The 25,589-nt window shown below is 35.5% G+C and overlaps 1 protein-coding gene across 16 annotated transcripts in view; it reads right to left on the reverse strand.

Annotated features, from left to right (window-relative positions):
* IQCM (IQ motif containing M) overlaps window positions 1-25,589 on the reverse strand; it is a 464,135-nt gene that overhangs the window by 198,311 nt on the left and 240,235 nt on the right. For all 16 annotated transcript variants that reach the window (NM_001378180.1, XM_017008904.3, NM_001363507.2 and 13 more), the window contains 2 exons: window positions 13,673-13,871; window positions 3,124-3,268 (listed from right to left, as the gene is read on the reverse strand). In NM_001378180.1, coding sequence (NP_001365109.1) covers window positions 3,124-3,268; window positions 13,673-13,871 — 344 coding nt within the window. The remainder of the gene's footprint in view (window positions 1-3,123; window positions 3,269-13,672; window positions 13,872-25,589) is intronic.

The raw sequence follows: 25,589 nt of genomic DNA on the forward strand, positions 1-25,589 counted from the left end.
CATAACTCCTTGTCCTTACTTCTGTGCATGCTAAGTTGACTTTCAATTGCCAGCATCTGCATTCCATTGCCTAAGGGCTCCCTCTGGCTACAGGCCTTCACTCAACCCATCTATGCACCAAGCAGTGGGCCTCAACCACTGACTCAGGGGAGTTGGTTGATAAAGACCCAGCACTCAAGGCAAGTTGTTTACACTGTTTTTTCTCAGTTCCCTAGAGGGATTAAGCTTCAGTTGTCCAGGTAGTAATTTGCTTGATATTGCACTCTTTTTTGACTCCTTTCCCTTCTGTCTCCTTTCTTCATTCCATTAACAGTATTGCCTAGGATTAACTCCCAAGCAAATTAGTTGTACTTGAATTATTGTCTCAGGATCTGATTCTAAACTAAAACAAAAAGAATATCACCTTTTACTTTTGTGATTAAGTAAATGTATTTCTCCTTGAGAAATCCTTGAATTAATCACTTTATATGTTTCTCACAAGATAATATTGATGTACCTATTAATATTATGACTTTGAAACTGTATAATTGATAACAGTGCCCTTAACCTGTATATTATGCCCTATGAGCAAACTTTCAGCAACATGCAAGGATAATTAGTATTCAAGGATGATATATTTAGGGTAAATATAAAACTTAAATCATGAAAATTAATGAAATTTTCTGATCATTGAAAGATGCTTAAAAAGTGTATAGGTAACTGCCAAATATCACCCAATTAGCCATCAACACACGGAAAGGATGAAGAATTTTCTAAGTAACATGAAGACAAATTAGAACTTGCAAATTCTGTCTCTATTGAGTTACTTTCCCCTCAATGTAAATGGATGCTCTGGTTGGTAATTCTTTAAATTATTCATTTACCAATTTCTGTTCTACTGTTCAGCTCCTATGTTGGACAGACCACCATCTGTCCTAACTGGACTCCTTTATTCTGTTTTTGCCACATGTTAGCCTATTCTCAACAAAATTACCAGAGTGATGTCTGCGACACAAGTTGCTTCATAGTCCTCTGTTCCCAATCCTCCAATGGCTTCCCAATTCTCTCAAGGTAAAATGCAATCGTCTATAAAGCTTGACATAACCTGTGCTCCCCACTACCTTTCCAATTTCATTTTGCTCTGCTCCAGTCACAAACTTCATTCCAGTAATACTAGTCTCCTGGCTTTCTCCAAGACTAGCCGCCTCCAAATTAAGGCCTTTGTGCTTGCTGCTCCCTCTGCTTAGAACCTTCTTCCCCCATAGTCCACCTGGCTTATCCCTTACTATCTATAAGACTTTTACTGAAAAAGCTTCTCAGCTAGAAAGCACCAGAGTCCAGGCTGGAAAACAGAAATCACATTAATTATTTTTTTCAAACTGAGGGGATATTTTAGGATGCAAAAATATTGAAATCTGCATTACAAATTGAGAAGGAGAAATCATGAAAAGAAAGTAAAGCTACGAAAAATAAGCAACATTCCATAACGTTAAAAAATCAATTAAGTGATAGTTTGGGGTATGAAGAGAAGACTAATTGAGTAAAATAGTAGGAGCATTTTGGAAAGGATATGTGATTTGGAAGTCAGCAGCTAAAAATTAAAGTGGATGGAAAAGAAAATGTGGTCAGTGTAATAACTGTAAGGTTTTAGTATATATTTTGATAAGTATTATGAAATCAGTACATTCATATTAGATTATATAATATAAACTACTATTCATAAAAAAAATACTAAGATCTTCCTGAATTTTCTACTAGTGGTATGGAGAGTTTACGGGCAAAAGTCTTAAAATCTGACTCTCACTCTCTCTCTCGGTTCTATAAGTAAAAGGAGTCCAAGTAGCTTCTTAATGGGAGAAGGATCTTCTCTATCACTGCCTCTCTCTCTCTCTCTCTTCTCGTTTTCTCATTCTTTCTTCTTCCTGTCTTCCCATCTCTCCAACACTTTGCTGCTTTCTGCTCTTTTCTCTAGAAACCAGGCTGTTGGGCTGGGCTGGATGAATTGATCTAGCAACCTCTGACTTATATAAAACAATCTCTCTCTCTTTTCTCTTTCTCCTCTCTCTCTGACTTCTTCCTCCCTCTACCTCTAGCCACAGAAAAGAAACTATTCTAACTCAAAGAGTTCTGGTTATCTGCAAATAGCTTTTAGCACATAATTTTATCATAACTTAATGAAAACTATCATTTTAACAAATATTTTTGAGCCCTTCTTATAAACCAGGCATTTGCTAGATAGTGAGTATTTACTGATAAATATAACAGACATAATCCCTTTCTTCATGGACCTTACAGTCTTAAATGTAAAATAAATACTGTATGACTAGCTGAGACTACCAACATTTTCACATTTTTACCCATAAAGCAGTAAGACAATGATTCCAATTAAATATAACTTACTTGTGTCATTTTTTTAGTCAAGAAACTGGCTCTAATAATCTATCCTAATCCTAAGCAATACTGAATTCATTAAATATAAATATAAATTGAGATCTCTGAAAATTAAGATATAAATGAGATAATTTGTTCTATGAATAGAATTCTAACACTAATAAGCAATGTGTTGTTTAGTAGGCTCGGTGTCCATTAACTATTATTCTGGTATATACAATTTTTCTTTGTGCAGCTACCCCTCCTCCAATGAACACAGTTTCTGTGCAACTCTCAAGCAGGATTCCCTACCTTCCCACTGCAAAGTGTTGGATTTATGATTCAAGCTATATGTATCAGTTGCTGTCTCCCTGGAATATGAATTTAAAGCATAGCAACAAAGAGTCTTTAAGTGGTAGGGGCTTATCTATCCCCCAGAGGCAAATTGAGATTATCCCTTATTTCCTGCTCCCTAGATCTCTGAAGCAGTTGTGTTTCATATTCAGTCTGAAATCTAATTGTTTCACTATCTTTGCAATATTCTCCTGTTAAATTTCCTTTTTGCTTTGGATAGCTAAAATGAGTTTTCTGTTACTTGCAGAGGATCCAAATAAATTAATTCAAATGTACAACATGCTAACTTAAAATGCAAATTGCTTACAGCAATATAACATATAATCTACCTTTGCTTTCTACAGGTAATTATATTTAAAATTCCAATGGCTAAATTAACTCCAAACTTAAATTCAAACCAGAAGTGTCTGCATCACTTACATTTTTTTCGGTCCATCCACTCCTCTAGCTCTGCTAAGTTGAGAATTTGTCTTGTCCTCCAAAGACCACGTCGATATCTAACACGGTGGATTAGTCTGCCATACATGTTAATAACTGCTTTCATATCTGGTCCATGATCCAAAGCCTACAAAGACAGAAAAGCTCCTTATATATTTCTGGTATTTATATTTAATTTGATTTCGCCTCTTTCATTTAGTCTATTTCACCTAGTTTCTAAGATTATGGGTGTATTTATTGTTTATTGCCTAGGTTGGCTAAATATACGCATTGTAGAGTAATATAATCTCCCTGAAGTTCAGAGATTTCCATTATGAATTGCTTTGTCATTATATATTCATACTTCCCATAGAATAGAGCTTCCAATATTGGCTTCTTTCACAGACACTTCCTATACTTGTGTGCAGATTTCCATAATATGTAGCCCACTCTGCCAGAAACGATGTAGTCTTATTAAGGTATTATTCTGTAATAGATGATTCTTGTCTAAGCAGTCCACTCTGGGTGCTCAAATCTTTGTCTCTTATTTCCTTGGGAAATTATACATTCATGTCCTTTACCTATTTTTCCCTGGGCTTTTTAAGGTTTTTTTGTTGTTGTTGATTTCTAAAAATCTCTTTGAATATTCAAGAAATTAACCCTTTTCAGCGTATGTGCAAATTTTGTTTCATTAGTTTACCTGTGACTACATTCTTCTGTGTATGCATTTTCAACATTCCACCAGAACAATTTTTTTATTAAAGTTTTAAATATTTACCTATTTCAAATTTGTTTTCTCTTTTCTAAAGAGCCATTCCCTTTTAGTTAACAAGTCAATTATTTTTACATTTTACATTTTCTGGCTTATTAATGTCTCTATATATCTTTATTAATTCCTTTCTAAATAATATTTAGATTTATTTTCCTGTTCTTGACTTCTTAAAGGCTTAATTTTTTAAATTTTCATTATTTCTTGTTTGTTTAGGAATGTGTTTACATTTACACATTTTTCGCTGAGTTGGCTTTCCTTTTCTGTGTTTTGCATACCGTATTATAAATGAAAACAACTGAAGCAGAAAATCTTTAAATAACTTTCCCAAGGCCCCATAGCTAGTAAGTTGTATCATTGGTTTTGAAACTAGCATAGAGGCATTCCAGAGCCCACTTAATTGTACTCTACATTCCTTTTAATTTAGTGTTTTCATCCTTTTTTTTTTTCTTGAGACGGAGTCTCGGTCTGTTACTAGGCTGGAGTGCACCTCTGCCTCCTGAGTTCAAGCGATTCTCATGTCTCAGCCCCTGGAGTAGCTGGGACTACAGGCACTCACCATCATGACCGGCTAATTTCTGTATTTTTGTAGAGGTGGAGTTTCACCATGTTAGCCAGGATGGTCTCGATCTCCTGACCTCATGATCTGCCCACCTCGGCCTCCCAAAGTGCTGGGATTACAGGCATGAGCCACCGCACCTGGCCGTGTTTGCATCCATTCTACAAGATTTTTTGTTTGTTTGTTTGTTTCTTAGCATATTTCATATTACACATTAATTTTTTCTTTTCTTTTCTTTCTTTTTTTTTTTGAGACAGAGTGTCGCTCTGTCGCCCAGGCTGGAGTGCAGTGGCGCGATCTCGGCTCACTGCAAGCTCCACCTCCCGGGTTCACGCCATTCTCCTGCCTCAGCCTCCAGAGCAGCTGGGACTACAGGCGCCCCCCACCACGCCCGGCTAATTTTTTGTGTTTTTAGTAGAGACGGGGTTTCACCGTGTTAGCCAGGATGGTCTGGATCTCCTGACCTCGTGATCCGCCTGCCTCGGCCTCCCAAAGTGCAGTGATTACAGGCGTGAGCCACTGCACCCGGCCCATATTACACATTATTTTTCTTGTTTCTGTCATGTTATTTTCTGTTTATGTGAAATAATATTTTTTGTTTATTTGAATGAAAAATTAATTAGCATAATTTTACTACCCTCCTCTTCTCCTTTCTCCTTCCATCTAATAGCAGATTCTGGATGTTTGCTAATGTCTCTCAACATTTAATAACATTTTTCAATGTGTATTTTTAATCTGCCTTTTGTTCAATAGGCTTTTGTCTTTTAAAAAAAATAATAAATTGATTGCACTTTTGGCACATTCCCTACATATGAATCTTAGTGGGAGGCAGAACTCACTTCCCACAATTTGAAGCCAAAAGTCAGGTGCTCATGACTCATACCTCTTCTGTTGCTAGGATGCACACACGTGAACTTCATCCATTATCTCCACCAATCCCAAACTTTGAATGGAAACAAATAATGCTTTTAAGAGTGAAACAGTGGGAAATCTATTTGTGTGATAGAGTAACTGTAGTACCAATATACATTTTTCAAGGGCAGCATTTGTAAAGTCAGGAACACCCAGGATTCAGTGTCTGCATCAAACTCTTTCTGTATAGGATTTGGCTGGATTACTGGGAGCTACCCAGCCTTTACTATTCCTTTATGTTTATGAACTTAGTTCTCTAGACTTCTGTACAATATCCTATTCAACATCTTTCTGCTTAAATCTATAAGTGGATTTCTTTTGCTTATAATTAAGAATCAAGCAGTTTTTTGACTGTATCTTTAAAACCTGAATAGAAAAGTTCCCTCTTGGAATGTGCTACTTGGACAGATGATGTTTCTGAGAAAAGGAAGGGCATTGGGCAACCACCGACTTCAATTTGAGTACCTTTTCCTCTGAATGTAACAACTCTTTTGGGGAACACAACCTATCTTCTAAGGGAGCCCTTTTCAGATCTCAGGCATTTGGAAGGTTACCTAGGGCTTTTCATGGTTAGGAAGTTGAGCCAGAGAAAATGACAATGGTCCATCCATGTGGTTTTTATTACAGGGAGTGTCCCTCCCAGGCTTTCACATGGAAATATGCTTCAGCTATTGTGCTAGTACATTTCAGCATGTAAATCTTTCACTATAAGTCTAAATATTTCTCAAGGTAGAATTTATCAGAAAAAAAGTACAAATTTCTACTTACAACAGCAATATTGCAATATAAAGTTATTATAAATTACTGATTATAATATTCCAATTTCTGTTATCTTAATGGACAAATGTATTATACTTATCAACATTTAATAAAATTTTCCAGTATTTATTTCAGTTTGTTTTTGCTTGATATGGTCATGTCTTTTTTTTTTTTCTTAAGTAATTTATTCATTGTTTGGAGAATTCCGCCATCACATGACCCTTAGTAGGACTTAATTTCTGTTAGTGTGTTTCTTACCAGTTTGTAAGAGATTTTTATATGTTAGGCTTTTTTAAACTTTGTGTCATATTTCAGCAATTATTTTGCCAGTTTGACTTTTAAATTTGAAAAAAGATTCTATAGACCTATAAGAAGATATCTTGACCACATTTGTTGATTGAAGTCTCACCTTGTCTAAGCATTTAGGTATGAAAATATCAAAAAAATCTTTATTCAAAAGCCTTATAAAAACAAAAGGGAAAATGTTTTAAAATGGCAAAACCTATACACAGTGAAATAAAAATTGAACATTCTAAATAGTTATCTCGATCGCATACACATGAACACACACTTACAAATATACAAGCCACAAATACCATTAAGTGTGAATCTTATATTCACTTCCCCATCCACTAAGAAACTAGCGAAGACCTTATCCATGCATAGCTACTGGACATGTGTCTCTCCTAGGTTTGGTTCCTCTTGCCCTCTTTCAGGCCTCTCCTCTGTGTCACTGTTGCTTGCTGTACTCATTTTGATCTGAGTCAAAGAGATTATTATTACTACTACCTGAAGCATATGCCTCAATCACTCTATGTCTAATTGCTCAGTACAGAAACTGTTAAATAAACATTCTTGGTCAACTTTATCATTAAATATAAATAAAAATATATTGTTTTCTCCCAGTGTACTCTGAAAAATATTAAATAGCAGCTCCTGATTGCCATAGAAAGGGTGCCTCTCTATAGGCCGTGGTTCTTGGCTTCATGTCTCTGATGTGAGCTCACCTGGATTAGCTCTATTAGCGTCAGGTGGGAGTATTATCTAGCCTTGGCTTTCGGCAGGAAACTCCAATGTTCATGTTGAGCCTGATCTGAGAAAAGACTTCACAATTTGCAATAATTGGACACTTCTGGTACCAGAATGGCCTCGTTTTATAGTGCTCTGGAGCTAGACAGCCTTATGTTTGATTCTCAGAATTCATTCTCAACTATGTCACTTGCAAGATGTCCAATTTTGGGTAATTATGTTACATCTCCATGCCTCATTTTTCATAATTACTAAAGAAAATTATACAACCTGGAGAAATGCTACTACTCCAATTCTTGATCACCAACCTCAATGGGGTTCTCAAAGTGGCCTGGAATTTCATGCACGCTTTTTAAGGCATCTCTCTGCCATTTTCTGTATTACCTCAATCTCCTCGAACATTCAAACCCATCTAAATGCTTACTCTCACCAAATGGCCTAATTCCTTACTTCACACAGGAAGAAAAAACAATTAGTTTATTGCAACCCCAACTTCCCACCGGCAAGTCTAAACACTTAGCTGCATCTACACACCTTCTTCTCCTGCAACAATGGAGAAATATGTTTCCTCTCACTTAACGCTAATCTTGTCAAGTAAATTAGAAATCCACCCCCTCCAATCTCCTTAAAGTCCGTATAATATGGATTATCTTCATCTTTCTTGTATTGACAACCATTCCCTCTTACTGGCTTCTTCCAATGAGCATTTAAGCATACATAAATATTTTTTATCTTAAACTATCCTTCTCTAAACTTCGTAGTGCCTCAATTTATCTACTGCAGATGTTTTCACTGCATGAACTTACTGTTACTAAAGCCAGAAAATTCTATCTAGCAGCATTGGAGACTATGGATCTAACACTTTTCCTTGTACTGCCTTTCAAGTTCCTTGATCTAGCACATTCTGGTTTTCTTCTTACCTCTCTGGTTACTACTTTAGTGTTTGTGGAATACTCATCTTCTGCTTCCCCTTGAACACCAACCAGTTTCTCTCAATCTTTCTTTTTATGATTCTCTCTTTACTCTATATAGTCTCCCTAGACAATGACATTGACTTTCATGGCTCCAGTTAGAATCAGTAACAATGATTCTCAAATCTATGGGTGGTGGCAGGTTTCAAGGAGGGCATCCTTGGTCAGGGACCTGCATCAGCATATTTAGAAGAGGTTTCTCAAATTTCAAATCCCTCCTGGCCCCAAAATGCTGTTATGTATCCTTCACTCTCTTGAAAATAATTTATTAAAAACATGTATTAGGCTCCTAGTATGGGCCAAGAATGTACAAGACTTTGCGAATAGATTAAAGATCAGGAAAGATAAAATTTCTGTTTTTAGGGGGTTACATTTTAGTGAAAGGAGCAATAATCTAATAAACAAATATATGTTAGGTGGTAGTAAGTGCCATGAAGAACAATAAAGTGTTTTAAAAGAGACAGGGAGTGATTAGAGAGTTATTTTCTACAGGTTAGTATGGGGCAGCTTTTCGATAATATGACAATGAGCAGAGACCTGAATGAAGTAAAGGAGCATCACCTGGGGGAAGAGCTTTCTCAGAAATATGATGAGATTCATTGCCAAAATGAGGTACTTTTATAGATGAGAGGGTTTTACATTCTTCTTCCATGAAAGAATTTAAGAACTACTGATAAATCCCAAGTCTTTCTATATGGCCCAATTCCCTTCTGAATTTTGGACCCATATACTCAACTGCTTCCCAGACATCTCAAGGATTTCCCACAAAAGTTTTAAACTCAGTGTTGAAAACTGGACTCAGTGTTAAAACACAGTGTTGAAAATTGGACTCTACCTTCGTTCCTTTCTTCTGCTCCCTCTTGCCTGCCCTTTCCCTTAAATTCCACATTTCTCAACCATACACCAGATTGCTCAAGACAAGAACCTGGGAATCATTCTTGACTCCACCCTCCTCCTTATCTCCAAATACAACCAAACCCAAAGTCCTATCAACTGTCCATTTCCCCATCACCACCATGCACTGGATTACTGAAAAAGCATACTAGTTGTTTTACCTCCATTTTGTCACCCTCTCCTCCCAATCCATTGTCCAAAGTCAGTAATTTTTCAAAAATACAAATCTATTGGTGTCACTGATCTATTTTAAAGGCATCCGTTCTCAGACACCAAGTATAAACTCCTTATTAAGTTTTCTAAGAACGTTATTAATCTGATTCCTACCTTCAGCTTCCTTTACTGCCATTGTCCTCCCAGCTATGCCCCAGCCCCTTAAATGTAAATAGCTCACCTAAGCTCATTGATATTGTCTTTCCTGTGCCTCTCAGCCTCCCAGTATACCTGACAAAATAAAGCCTCACCCTCCAGATCTCAGTTTACTGGTCTTATCCAATTGCCACATCAAACACACTTGGGGTTAAATGGCCTTTCTAAATGCTCTGATGATACCTAAGACTTCTTTCAGTTGTCTGCATTGCTCACTAGACTATGTATGCTCTTCACACACCAGGCAGGAAATTGGACCCAGTATATAGTAACTATTATCAAATCAAAAAATACATATGTTACTGAATAAATGAACATAGGTCTCCAGGTACTTGTGAGTGTTAGCACACGTTATGTAATAAAACTGTTCTATACAACAGGAGTCCCCAACCAACTGGTCTGTGGCCTGTTGGGAACCAGGCTTCACAGCAGGAGGTGAATTGTGGGTGAGAGAGCATTACTGCCTGAGCTCCTTCTCCTGTCAGGTCAGTGGCAGCATTAGATTCTCATAGGAGCTAGAACCCTATTGTGAACTGCACATGCAGGGGATCCAGGTTGTGTGCTCTTAATGAGAATCTAATGCCTGATGATCTGAAGCAGAACAGTTTCATCCTGAAAATATCCCTGCCCCTGCTCTGGTCCATGGAAAAATTGACTTCCACAAAACTGGTCCCTGGCACCAAAAAGGTTGGGGATTGCTGCTATACAAGATGACCTGTCCTATAGGCTTCATGAATAGATTCAGATTTTGTTATTATTTCTGTTTTGTTCTTTTGAGATAATGATAGGAAATTCCTACTTTATCAAATTTTCAAAGAATTCTATAACCTCCAAAATATTGAAGACCATGGAGTTATTCTTATGGTAATATTGAAACTCAGATTCTCCAGGGCTGTTCCAAATTTATTGATTCAACAAATATTTATTAAAAGCCAATTTCAAACACTTTTTATTATTGTAGCTATCAACCATTCCAATGTCCTGGAATTTCAACATTTTTAGCCAATAGCAATAGAATATATTTAATTTAGGATTAAAACTTTAAAATTATAAATATTTAGAGAAAAATATTGAAATTAAGTAAGAGCCTAGAAGCATTACATCGAGGGACATACCCTGTTTTGTGTCTTTATAATTTTTAATATCATTATTACTTATACCAAAACACATGCAAACAAACAGCACAAAAATTTTTAAAGGAAAAGGACATTTTTAATTGTGTAAAAAATATTCATATTAAAATATAGCAATCTCTGTGGTCTTTCGATGTATGACAGGTAAGATAATTTGATGCTGCTTCACTATTTCCAAAGAATTTCAAACCAAATTTTTCATAGGGAATGGAAATTGTACAGTCTCTTGAGTAATCTTAAACTTCTAGCAGACATTCTAGCAGACACTGTCCACAGCAACAAACTCTGAAGTGGCAGTAAAGCAATATGACTATGGAAGTCTCCCAGCGGAGGGACTGCCACAGTTCTGACAATTATCCAGTGATTTGCTGTGCACCCTCTAGAGCAGAAAGTTATCAAGAATTCCCCCAACAGCAACCCTTCACACAGGCACAGTCTAGGAAACTTACTATTAACTGCATTACAGGCTGTCACACCAGGATTTTGACAGTAGGCAAAACAACTTTAACCACATCAACAAAGCAATCATCCAACAGATGAAGCACCATGCCAATGATGGAATAAAAAAGAAAATCAATGATCATAACAAATATTATAACCAAGTAAAAGTCAACAATCTACTTTATATTGGCTCTGATCCTTTAAAAAGTACTTTTTTATCTCAAATTCTATCTCCGTATAGAAATTCAGCATTTTCCTTATCAATTAAATCACTCCTTTTCACGCTCATCTTTGGCCCATTCTTTCTCTCTCAATTTTTTAGATTCATTTTTGTGCCAGAGGTTATGAATGATTCTACAATTATTTCTGATATTAGGAAATGCTATAATTAAATTATATAGCATGTATCAAATGTGTGTAGACAGAACTTTAAGGATGTGTGTGTGTGATCTCCTTAGACTGCCATGATAAACTTCTACAATTATATCAATTCATCCACTCAATAGGTATTTGTGGAGTGCCTACATATAATCAAATACAATCAAATACAATAGGTATTTGTTGAGTGCCTACTACATACTAAACACCATTCTAGGCATTTGAATACAGAAACAAACAAGACAGATACCTGTCTTCATGGAGTTTGCAATCTATCTAGCCAAACTGAAAAATATATGTATACAAAGAGATAAACAAGAAAAAATAGTAGACCATACATGCATACAGTTAAAGTGATGGAGTATATATTATGTGTCAAGATAGTCTGTGGTGCTATGAATAGAAAAATAAAGAGTACGTACTTCCAAATAAGTCATATAAACCATACTGTCCATATCAAACATGTAAACAGATGACAACAATCTAAAGAACTGGCACAATAATGACCAGAAAAATGGAGAGATCAGCTCTGCTTGATGGACCAGAGAGGGTGTCTAAGTGAATACACTTTAGGAAGATCTTGAAAGATGAATTGGAGTTTATCAGAAGATAAGGAAGGCAGAGGAGAGAACAGCATGAAAATATAAGATGACAAGAAACAATCAAGATTTGCAGTTTGCTAAAACACAGAGAATGTGTCAGGGGGTATCATGTGATGAAGCTTAACAAAAGGCAAGAGCCAAAACAGGGAGGTCGTGTGTACTATGTTATAGTTCCTACTATATCCTGTAAGCAATATAGGTCTTCAAAAAGATTGTAAGAAATGGAATAAGGTAATAATAGTGGAATTTTTCAAATATGGCACATGGCAGATAGATTTGACAGAAGTAGGTCTGCAGGCATGGAGATCAATTAGGAAACTATTGCAATTCTCCATGTAAGGGTAGATGAATGGAAGTTCTGACAAGAAGCACAAAGAAGAGCAGTTCAACAAATGTCATGAAAGTGGAACCAGTTGAATATGGGAGTGAAAAAGTTGAAAGAATCTAAGAGACATCCAGGTTTATGGCTTGAACAATGAGTGGTAGAACAGTTTATCAATATAGATAGTTACAGAAAAGAAAGAGCTTTGTGGAGTAAGAAAATTAGTTCATCTCATTTTGGAGAAATTTAAGTCTAATTTAACCATGGATCTGTCAATGTCTTAGACAGACATGGGTTTGAATTCTAGCTCTTTCACTTACCAGCTGTTTGACTTTGGGCAAATAATTTGCTTCATTTTTTTCAGCAATGAAATAGATATAGCAGCTACCTTACAAAATTACGGGATTAAGTATATGGAGTGTTTACCTTTTGCCAGAGTTTTACATGTATTATCATGTTTAATCAGAACTACATATGTGATTCCCATACATATTAATTTATACATGTTAGTACATGTAAAAATTTATACCCAGAGATAGGCAGATGGATTAACTCTAACAGTATCACCACATTGTCAGAGAAATGTGTTCAGGATGCCCACTGCAAATCTATTCCAGAGGTTTTTCGCAGAAGATCAAGGAATTGGAGTGGGCACTACTAATCTATTTTATTTATAGTTGATTTCCCAAATTCCTTATTAGCAGTAAAACTTTAGCCCTTTAAGGTGAGGACATTTAGGATTCTCTCAAAGGTTTTCCAAGATGGACCCACTTAGGTTCATCTGCATTTGCCCAGCCAAAATGGGTGTGCATTATTTATTTTAAAAATCAGGATTGCGATCTATGAAAGTTGACCAGGTAGATATTTGTATATGTGTGTAATTCTTTTGAAATTGGACATTTATGCACTGCAAGAGTACCCAGGAGTGTGGGAAGTGAAGGAAAGTTGCTCTAAACAGAAAATGAACAGACAGCAAAGAAGAAACAACTTTAGTGCAAAGTTATTTCAAAATATCCTTGTTTAAGAATAGGTGGTCCCAGAATTGCTAAGTTAAGGATAAGTGAGGCCTTTTGTTCAGAGTCTCCAACTTTGCACAGCCTAAAAACTGTCATCATAACAGATTATTCATCACATTTTCTTAAAGTATGTACACTAAAAATTAGCTGGATGTGGTGGCAGGCACCTGTAATCCCAGCTACTCAGGAGGCTGAGGCAGGAGAATCGCTTGAACCCAGCAGGCAGAGGTTGCAGTGAGCCAAGATCACGCCATTGCACTCCAGCCTGGACAACAACAGCAAAACTCTATCTCCAAAAAAAAAAGTATGTACATTGACCAGATGACTATTCAAAATTCTACTGAATTGAATCTAATGAGAAATTTTAAACACATTATAATATCTGATGGATATCTTACCTTGGTCATTACTCTTTGCAATCTTTTCCGTTCAAGCCATCCCCTGACATGTGCCTGCATGACGGTGACCATTCTAATCAATTTTGGGGTAATCATGAATTTTTTTCTTTCTCGGAACACTTGGAAGATTTCTATGTGTGGTCCAATTCTTTTAACTTTACTGTCAAGTTTATCAGTTTTATTTGGAGTACCTTTTATCCTAAAAATAAAACAAATTTCTTATTATACATAATATGAAAAATTAACCTTCCACAAACAGTTTTAAATTATTTCAATGATGAATACATTGAAATAGGAAATATATTATAACTTGTACATAGAATTCAATGTATGATATCACCAGGACATGTCAATAAGGACCTCCAAAGAAGGTTGAATATGCCAAGACCAATATTACATGGATAAAACTAACCTTCTAATGAAAAGAAATCCAAAAGAAAGTGAATATGTCAGTCTATCTACAACTACTCCAAAGAGAATGTTTTCATATGACACGGCAGTTTAGTTCAAATAATTTTCCTGTCCCAGAAGCTATTTTAAACTACAGAGTACTTCAAAATTATTTAATTATTTGGCACTGATATGCTGTTAACCAAACGTCATCAGAAAAGTAACTTTGATTCAAATGCTTTGAATTGAGAGTCTCTGTACTATGGTGGTAGGATCATGGCCTATAGGATCAGCAGATGGGAAAGGTGATACTGCAAACGATGACCAGTCTGCAATACGGCTATGGGTGACTGTGGTAGTTAATAATGAGTGTCAACTTGACCAGATTGAAGGAACAAAGTATTGATCCTGAGTGTGTCTGTGAGGATGTTGCCAAAGGAGATTAACATTTAAGTCAGTGGGCTGGGAAAGACAGACCCATCCTTAATCTGGGTGGGCACAATCTAATCAGCTGCCAGTGCAGCTAGAATATAAGCAGGCAGAAAGATGTGAAAAGACAGACTGGCCTAGTCTCCTAGGCTATATTTTTCTTCCGTACTGGTTGCCTCCTCAAACATCAGACTCCAGGTCCTTCAGTCTTGAAATCCGACTGGCTCTCCTTGCTCCTCAGCCTGCAGACGGCCTATCGTGGGACCTCCTTATGGTCATGTGAGTTAATACTTAATAAATTCCTATATATATATATATTCCATTAGTTCTGTCCCTCTAGAGAACCCTAATACAGTGACCCTAGCAGCAATTAATAACATTTGAGAAAACTGAAGATTTACTACCATTAACAGATTATCTGTAATCTTGGTAACCTTGTGTCAGCTTTTTCTTTATATGTATATACCTGTTATGTTTTACATATGATAGCCAGTTTTTTTCAAAGTCTTCCAAAGTCCAAAGTCTAGTTCTCTTGCAATTTTTGGCATATAAAAATGCTTTCTTCTTCTTAATGTTTTTATTTCTGCCCTCTCACAAATGGAGTTCCACTGACTGAGATGCCCAGGTCAATTCATTCACCAGGGCTGAGTCTTGCCCCAAAAATGATCTGTACCTACACCTCTGAATCCCAGACCCAAGTTTCTTGATTCTCAGAGTGAATCTCTGACTCACATTCACTCTGTTTTTGCATATTTTCTTAGTCTGTTTTATTTAATTTTTATGTTAAGTTTATTCTTAAGTCTTGTTCTGTTTTGTACATGGATATTATTTTTATTCTCTTGGTAACTGAAATGTGGAGTATGATTTTGATTATTTGACCCAGCCACAAAGTCTCTGTTAGGTGGTAGATGGCAGGAAATCCCAGTTCTGTCTTTTCATATTTGTCTTTCTGTAGTTATTCTTGAAGCTTGTACTATCTCCTGATATTCTCTATATTGTATGTCATTTGAACACTAGCATAACACCATTTTTGAACACTAGTTTGAATATCATTCAAGAGAAAATTTCCCACCCACTAGAATGGAGATCAGCCCCAGATTAAGAAATTTTCATAAGAAGAATTTGTTGATCTTTTTTACTTCCTGACCTTCCTACTCCCAAGTAGCTGCAATGAACCAGTGAGATTTGTTGAAGCACAGAAAATTGTGCTGTATATTTATTTTTGACCTATATCTAAACATGTATAACTGAGGCTGCTAGTTCTCTTTGTGTCTATGTGTGTAAATGAAAAAAAAGTCATTTTCTTCTTTGCAAAACGAAATAAATTAGCCTTGTACAATATTCTTATAACTGTAGCTCTTTTGTATCAGTGGCTGATTCATTCTATCATTTTCTTTCACTCTCTTGAAAATTTTTATAAATTACTGAGCCAAATATATATCATTTTGTACACTGAGGGATAGATGTCTTATTAAACAAAGCTGCCAGAAGAGCTGAAGAATAGGAAACAAAGTTTTGTATTTGTTTGTTTAAATTAAGACTGATTTTGAATAGCTTAGAAAAGAGGCAGCTCTGCCTTCTAAGAGGATTTTTGCTTGGCTAATATAATAAATTTTACAAATGGGCATTGATGTATGAGACCAAGTGGAATGCAGGTGAAATGGTAATGATTACTTCTGGCTTGTCCGTAGCATCAAGATCTACTATGAAATCTAAGAGATTCTGAGTTGACATCTTTTTCTCATTTCTCTCAGAGGAAATAAGAGGACTGTTATAGAAATAGTTAAATACCCAAGCCAAAAAGTGAGGGAAGGTTTCATGTTCTAACAAGATGCAAATAGCAGAGGAATATGTGTGATGGTAGGGTGATATGTAATGTGTACTATTGAAGTGACAGCTCTAGGTCATTACAGTCTTCTGGTCTCCTAAGTTGCCTTGAAAGGCACAGTTTTTAATCCTCTACTGAAAAGTTTGTGTGTGTGTGTGCGTGTGTGTACACATGTACGAGAGAGAGAGAGAGAGAGAAAAGTGACAAAGAAAGAGAGACACAGACAACAGAGGCAGAGAGAGAATTGAAAGTTATTTGGGGTAAAAGCTGTAGCTAATATGAGTGATCAGAACTATATTACGTAAAAAATAAGAAGAAATACAAGCATGTTTACAAAATGATGAATGTGATTTGTCTGGTTTTCATAACAATTGAAAAGAAATGAATTTTATCTTAGGTCTGAAACAGATGTACTTTGATCAATACTATATCTCTAGATAATTGGAATGTTAAAGAAAAGACAAGAACAATTTATAGAAGTGAACAATTTATAGAAGTCTTGATGGAAAACAAATTGTATTTACAAATAATGAGTTTGAAAAGAAGCTAATACACTAAATTTTGACAATGGTAAATTTTGATGAGCTTAATCATAAAACAGAGAAATGCTTGTGAATCCTTAACTATAAAACATTACACAGGTGGTATATTTTAAAAGTAAAATTAGAATATGATATCACTTTTGTTACACTGACAAACTGATTTTTGATTACAGTTTGCTCTTAACATAGGGAAAACCATTCTGTGCCTTCAATATATTTTGCCCAAATATCAAAAAGTTCCTTTTATCACATAAGTATTCCTTTTATTGTGCTTGTGAATCTTTTTTCTCTTCTTTGTGACTTATTTGCAAAGTTTGGTATTCCTAACATTGAAAGTTACTTAGTTATTTGCGTCTCTGTTACTTCTTTTTTACTCAAAAGGCACCTGTGACTTCTGTTCATGTTTTACTTCATCTGACAATTTTTTCAATATTTTTCCCACATTCAAGTTCCAAATTTTATTTTATTATTATTATCCTTTTTTGAGACAGAGTCTCACTCTGTCACCCAGGCCGGAGTGCAGCAGTGCGATCTACTCTCACCACAACCTCCACCTCCCGGGTTCAAGCAATTATCATGCCTCAGCCTCCTGAGTAGCTGGGATTACAGGTGTGTGCCACCACACACAGCTAATTTTTTGTATTTTCAGTAGAGACGGGGTTTTGCTATGCTGGCCAGGTGGGTCTTAAACTCCTGTCCTCAAATGATCCCCTGCCTCCACCTCTCAAAGTGCTGGGATTATAGGCATGAGCCACGGTGCAGGGCCTCAAGTTGCAAATTAAAAAAACAAACAAACAAAACAATTATAATGTCTTTTTAACCTATCTTTTGGGTATCCCAGATGGCTTCAGGATCATACCAAAGATTTTCTTCTTCACTATATAAAAGGAGGGCTGCAAGACATGACAAGGTATGTCTTGTGTGGTTGTTATACAAATGTTATAACAATTTTATTTTTTTAAAGCTAAAGATGTTTCCTATATATTGGCCCTTATGTTTACTTCTGCATATTAGGACCATTGGCTCAAAAGCTTGCCAGCTCCGAATTCAAAATTCTTAGACATTCAGCTGTTTTAAATATGGCCCAAATAAGCATATTTTTAGCCGTTTAGAGTCTACTTGCTTTGCCTACACCATGAAATTGCTTCCAATATCTGTTAGACATCAATAAGGCACATCCTGGGGCTATAAAAGACCTCATGCCACTGCTGCTCTTTGGAGCTCAATGACCCAGAGATTCTCCATCCTGTGGTTGAGTGTCATCATCTAGACATGGAAGTCCCCTCTCTGATTTCCCTCTCCCACAGGAGACCGCTACTCCTTCTGGGTAGTGGCTCCAGGTCACGGTCTCTGGAAGGCCTTTGCTGGGAGAGACGTCTCATGCAAACCTATCCATGTGCTGCCCAAATAAAGCTTGGTATGGGCTACTGCCACCTCAGGGTCATGTCTTTTCCTTGACAAGACTCATGATCCTTGACCTTGTTACAATGGTCCATATTTTTGTCTAATTCAATACTGTATTCAGGGCTGTCCTGTTTATCAAATCTCAAAATATAAAAAGAGGTGACTATTCAAGGAAAATTTTGGCCTAAGTTGAATATATAACAAATAAAATATTAATAAAGCCAGGTACAGTGGCTCCATGCCTGTTATCCCACCACTTAGGGAGGCTGCGGCAGGTGGATCATTTGAATCCAGGAGTTCAAGACCAGCCTGAGCCACAAGGTGAAACTCTGTCTCTACAAAAATGACTATGAAAAATTAGCCAGGCATGGTGGCACATGCTACCATGGGAGGCTGAGGTGGGAGGATTGCCCAAACCCAGGAAGTCAAGGCTGCAGTAAGCCATGAGTGTGCCATTGCACTCAGCCTGGGTGACAGAATGGGACCCTATCTCAAAATACACATGTACATATATATTTTTACATTAACATAAACATATTAGAAGCACAGTGCAGTATATTGATGGCCAATTAAAGCCTCCTTAAATCCATACCTTTGCAACGTGATTGTGCAGCCCTACTCATCAAGAGGTGGAGTCTATTCACCTACTCTAGGACTATGAGCTGGTCTTGTGAATCGGTCTAGCCAATAGAATCCAATGGAAGTGATAATGTGCCAGTTCTAACTATGTGCTTTAAGAGACTTTACACAGTTTCATTCTTTCAGAACCCTACATCTACATGACAATAAGCCAGCAAATCTCTAAAGGATGAGAAGCCACATGGGGAAGAGAGAAGTTGTGCCCACTAGCATGAGCCCAGGTCTGGACCAGATCATCATCATTGTTGCACAATAAATAATAAATAGCTGTTGTTTTAAGCCACTAAGTTTTGTGATGCCATTGTGGCAATAGATAACTGATGCATATACTTAGGTTTATACTCAAAGACTAACACAATAACTGTCAAATTGATTTTTTCAAAGATTTTGTTTCAGAGGTAAATTATCTGTCAAGTCGTGACATTAGGGATGACATTTTTAAAACCTTGAGGTTTGTCAATGTCCTTGTTGTCAATATGTTCTTAGTTCAAGGTGATCAATGACTAAATCCATATGGAAAAAAAATATGTATGTCCTCAGTAGAGGACTCCATTCCTCTCCACTCTGAGATTGTTTATTATTACAGCAAATTTTTGCTAAACATATATTATACAAATCAATCATATCATTAGCAGGTAGTTTCTGCCCAAAGCCCTGCTACAAGTTACAGGTTATAAATTTCATCTTTTGAAAGAAACATCAAAAGAATGGTAGCCTTATGAACAATGCATTTTCTTAACAATTTATAGTAGCAGAAAAAGACCTATGGGTACAGGTTTCTCAGTTTAGTTTAAACTGACATCATAACCATGAACCTGTTAGACTAAGCAAAAGAACTGATTCGGGATTTCAGGACTTTTTTTCCTCCAGAAACAGAAAACTTCATATGGTAATCTGCTTAAACCAAGATCAGCAAAATAAGAATTAATTATCTAGAACTGAATACACTGATTGAATTATGTTTCATATTTATTTTCTAATAAAATATGAGAAAGCTTTTTCTTTGAATCAATTTATAAACTTCAATTTGTTTGCTTTTACTAGTACAAACTGGAATGAAATATCCTTTAAATAGTATATAAATGGTTTCAACTAACCCTTCAGAACTTGAGGGGGAAAAAGTCCTAATAAAAATGTTCATATATATAATAAGTTAATAAATCATTGTGAATAACTTTATGGAAATTAAGAACACATTTTCATTTATCTTATCTTTAAAACAATATAGAACAATAGTTAAATATATATAAAATGCCTTTACTGAGTTCATTATAGAAGTATTTATTTACAAAGTTTTAATAAGAATTGATACTTTTTTCTATCATAATGTAATTGAAAAATCAAGTTTGTAATCCACTTTCCATTTTAATATATAACATTTAAAGGTAAGGCAGTAAACTAGTATGGTGGCTCCTATTAAGGAACGTGGATTTAATCTTTACGTGAAAATGATGCCCACTAGGTCCTCCTAAAAAACCAGCTCGCTCTTTTCTATATTGGTTAGGGATTGCCAACTAATGGAATGTTACAGGAAAACACATATTGGGAAATTTGAGGATATTAAAAAGAGAAAGGGGGTGCTTTTACCATTATATGTAATGTAGGTAAAACCTGGAAGAAGAAAATTGGATGATTCCTAATTCCTAACCTCAATGAAAAAACTGACAGGGGCAATAAAAATCCTGCTACATAAAATCATTATGAAAGAATATAATGTGACACCAGGGGATTTATCAGTCTTCTAGACAGAAGTTACTGATATGTTAGTATCATATGATTCTAGTTTTGCTAATGAAACAATAAAAGCATCCATGTTTTAATCCATTCCTTATTCCACATTTACTAATGAAACTGACTCAGTAAAACACCAAGTTAATGATATTGAATCAAAAGTTGCTAGAACATGGGCAGAGCATTCAAATAGAGATTTCCCTAAAGAAGACATACAAATTGCCAAAACATATATGAAAAAATGCTCAACATCACTAATCATCAGGGAAAGACAAATTAAAAGCACAATGAGTTATCACCTCACACATGTTAGAATTTACTATCAGAAAGAGAAAAGACAGCAAGTATTGGAGAGGACACAGAGAACAGGGAACCCCTGCACACTGTTGGTGGGAATGTAAATTAGCACAACCTTATGGAAAACAGTACAGAGGTTCCTCAAAAAATTAAAAACAGAATACCATTTAATCCAGCTATCCCACTCCTGGGTACACATCCAAAGGAAATGAAATCAGTTTGTCAGAGATAACTGCACCACCGTGCTCACTGCACCATTATTCACAATAGCCAAGATATGGAATCAACCTAAGTGTTTGTTAACATATGAATGAAAAAAGAAGATGCAGTATATATACACAATGGAATACTATTCAGCCATAAAAGGAAGGAAATTCTGTAATTTGTGACAACATGGATATACCTGGAGGACATTGTGCTAAGTGAAATATGCCAGATACAGAAAGGCAAATACCACATGACCTCACTCATGTGGAATCTAAAATGTTGATCTCACAGTAGAGAGTAAAATGGTGGCAAAAAGAGCTGGAGCATTTGGGAGCAGGTGTTAGGGAGATGTTGGCCAAAGGATATAAAATGGTATTTACATAGGCGGAATAAGTCCAAGAGATCTATTGTATAACATGGTGACTATAGTTAACAATATATTGTATTCTTGAAAAATGTTAAGAGCGTGGACATAAAATGTTTACACCATAAAAATAATAACTATGTAAAGTAATGCACATGTTAATTAGCTCGATTTAGTCATTCCGCAACATATATATACTTCGAAGCATCATGTTGTACACAATAAATACATACAATTTTGTCTGTAAATAAAAATAAATAATGAGTAAACCAAATAAACAGTTGCTGAACAAACTTACACAGTCACAACCATGCTTTATGAATGCATCTTGATCACAAGATAGGGATGAGAAAGCAAACAACTTAGCTTCCTCCATAATGCATAAGTAGTATATAATATCTTACAATCAAGGGGAATAAGCACCTGCTACCCTGTGACAAACAAACACAGGTAATTCTGTCTAGCACTAATCTCCAAAATAACTAGAATCTCTAGAGCTCCCCTTCTTTATATAAGTTATTACTGAATCTATAACCAAAGAATAACTTATAGCTCTCACTGATATATGATGACCCTGGATGGGAAGGTGAAACATTAGTCAGTCATTTAGTTTTTGACCACCTGACACATTCCAAGAATAGTAATAATGTGCAGACAAGCAAAAGGGACTGGCTTCCTTCACATTATTTCAGGTTTATACTTATTTTCTGGATAAAACAATATCTATTGCTGATCCTTTTATTTTCCTTTTATTAATATATTTTTATTTTTATTTTATTTTAGAAACAGAGTCTTGCTCTATCACCAAGGCTGGAGTGCAGTGGTACGATCACAGCTCACTGCAACCTCTAACTCCTGAGCTCAAGTGATTCTCCTGCCTCAATCTCCCAAGTAGCTGGGTCTACAGGTATGCATCACTAAGCCTGGCTCATTTTTCTTTTAGTTTCCAGCAACCAAACCTGTCTTCATAAAAGCGTCTTTCACTTAATTTCAAATTTTATATCTCTATTAAAAGATATATATGTATATATATCAAATTTCACTTCCAAAATGAACATCCCATATTTCATCTGCATTATATTTCCTAACTATGGTATAATAATTTCTGAACATATTTTTGTGAGAACCACACAACCAGAGCGCCTTGAAGGTTTCATCATGTTCTCAAATACATTTTTTGTTGTGATTAGTTAAAACACACACCTGGCAAAAAATAATTAGAAACATACATATAGAAAAATGTTTCAATAATTATTTTAAGTTAAAATAGAAATAAGGCACCATTTTTCACTTCCAAATTTAGGAGGAAAACCCTGTGAACCTATAAAATTCCAGAGAAAGTTTGGTTCAAGATGCATTTCCAACATTATTCTCAATTGCGTAATCTACTTGGAAAACAGATTGACTTGGCAATATGAATCAAGAGCATACAACCTAGTAATTTCCTTTTTGGAAATTTCTCCTAAGTATGAAAAAAGCTATATGCATGAAGACACCCATCCCCAGTTTCATTATAATAGAAAAAATTTAGAAACAAATATCTAAGTAAATTGTGTTAGAGCCAATCAATAGACAATTATGAGGTCATAAAGGTGTTGTTTTAGAAGATTATGTAATAATTTGAGTAAATGCTTGTCATTTCAAAAATTGATATTAAAAGAATAAGGTTATTAAATTATATACATTATATAATTGTAACTTTTAAAAATGTATATATTTATATACATATATATAAAAGACCACAAAAACATGCCAAATATTATTAATGGTTATATTAACTAAGTGTTTCTAAATCAGGAATGGATAGGAATCACAACAATTATTTCCAAGGAACTCCTCTTCAAGACCTTCCTTCAAAGATTGTTTCATTGACTCCTTCAGTAAAACTGATGCAAATTCCTGATTAGATGCTGGGTTGTAAAAAAAACATTAGGTTGTAAAGAAAAATGATAATTTGTTCCTTGTTTTCTAATTTTGTTCATATTTCCTGAAATAGGCTAGCGTTCACTGTGTAAAGTAAAAGTTTAATAATTAAATCCATTAATATCAGCAGTAGTGGTAGTAACAATCTTTTATTAAGCATTTATTTCAGACATACTTTCTCCTTCACTCTTCAAAATAGTATTGTTAGGGATGGAGGCAGTGATGTGCACCTGTAGTCTCAGCAAGTCAGGTGGCTTAGACAGGAGAATTGCTTGAGCCCAGGAGTGAGAAACTAACCCAGGCAACCTAGTGAGACCCTGGCTCAAAAAAAAAAAAAATTAAAATTAAAAAAAATAGTTTTGTTGGATGATTATTATTCTGATTTTATAAATGATAAATTTATAAGTAGTACAGCCATAATTCCAAGCCTTCTTGATCCTCTGTGTGATGAAATCAAAGGAGGACGAAATTATGTCATGACAACAGAAACGTTGGTATTGACAATAGCCAATCCTCAATAGTTAGGATGACTTGGGTAACCGGCTTTAGGTTTTTGTTCATTTGTTTGTTTCAGGAGTATTGAAAGATACAGCCATATCACAAATACAGACAGACTATTACAGAAATGTTCAATTTTATGCCACGGACTTTATGTTCATTCTTTATATAAGAATGAGTTGTAGATGAGATATGAGAAATGTATTGTGACTGTCAGATACATGGAGACTAAGTGACCTCCTCTGAGTTAGAGAATCACAGAAATTATTCTTTGCTTACCCTCCAAATGTAATTTTTAAATTTATCTTTCTTTACCATAGAATTTTGATATGGAGCAAATTGTCATTTTTACAGACATTTTTAGCCACTAAAGAGTCTCCATACAACTCTTAAAAAATCCTCATGAAAATAAAAATGTGAGTCATTAAAGGCAAGATATAAAACAAGTTTTCATCACAGAAGAGACCACTCCACTTGTTTTCATGCCACCTCCTACTAATGTCACTCTAAGAATGAGAGAAAGAACAGGGCTGACTGGCTGCCTTTTACTTTTTCATTTGAAGTTTGACAAATCTGTGCTCAAAGCATCAAATCAAATAGTTTTCAGAGAGATAAGAGATCATTATGCAAGATTACATGTGAGAAAAGATACAATAAGTTGATTAGTAAGTTAATCATGTCCGAACATTACACCCTGAGCTTGGCAAACATTTGAACAGGGAATTTCCTTTCAACTGCTAATGCTTATATGATAATATATATTAAACACTAAATCAGTTTTAGAGTTTGGTTCAGATATTGCTACTAATTAGTTTTGGCTGATATTGAAGTATTTTGTATGCTCCATTTATAAAAGCACTATTTGCCCATCTGTTCATAGGTTGAAAGTGATTAAGGATACTTATTTCGGCTGTTGTAAAAGCCAAATACTTCTTAAGCTGCAAATATGTGACAAAACCAGATCAGGTTGCCAAGTTCAGAAATATAGTAAAAGAGATCTGTGATGCCTCCCTCCCCCAATTCCTCTTCCAACCTGCATTATTGAAAAGTAAATATCACTGCTTTCCTGATTAGACTAGCATGCCTGCTTTGTCCAAATGCTTTGCAATTTAGTTATAATTTACACAATTTACTCTGATTTGGATCTGCTGCTACCAAGCTGTGTCGAGGGCTTTCGTTTTCTGTACGTGCAGCCTTGAAGTAGAAACATGTGATACTCTTGTGCTTTGAATGTGGTATTTGAAAGTAACTTGGGTAATGAGTGGAACAAGTTTGTGGCCTACTTTAAACCCCTAAATGATTTCTGTTAAGTTTGAAAACAATGCATTAAATTCAGCATGGGTGATATAGATTTTTAAGGGGAGGGATGTAATACATGCTCGTGAAATTCATCTTTTGTCTCATTATTATTTTACTATTCCTTTTCCACTGTTCCCAAGGGTTCAGTACTTCACGCTAGTAAAACCTGTTCACTTCAAAAATCAGAGCAGTATTCCTGGGACTTTCTAAAATAAGATGCACTCCTCCTGAAGTGGAAGATAATGTCACTTTAATTCAGGCAAATTTTTAAAATAGTTTAAGTACCTAAAGGAGATGTAATTCTTGGGTGCCTTCTGTTCTCTTTTTGTACCCCAATCATTCCTCAAAATGCTACTCCATGCCAAT

The sequence above is a fragment of the Homo sapiens genome, chromosome 4, assembly GCF_000001405.40.
Source record: "Homo sapiens chromosome 4, GRCh38.p14 Primary Assembly".
Taxonomy (NCBI): domain Eukaryota; kingdom Metazoa; phylum Chordata; class Mammalia; order Primates; family Hominidae; genus Homo; species Homo sapiens.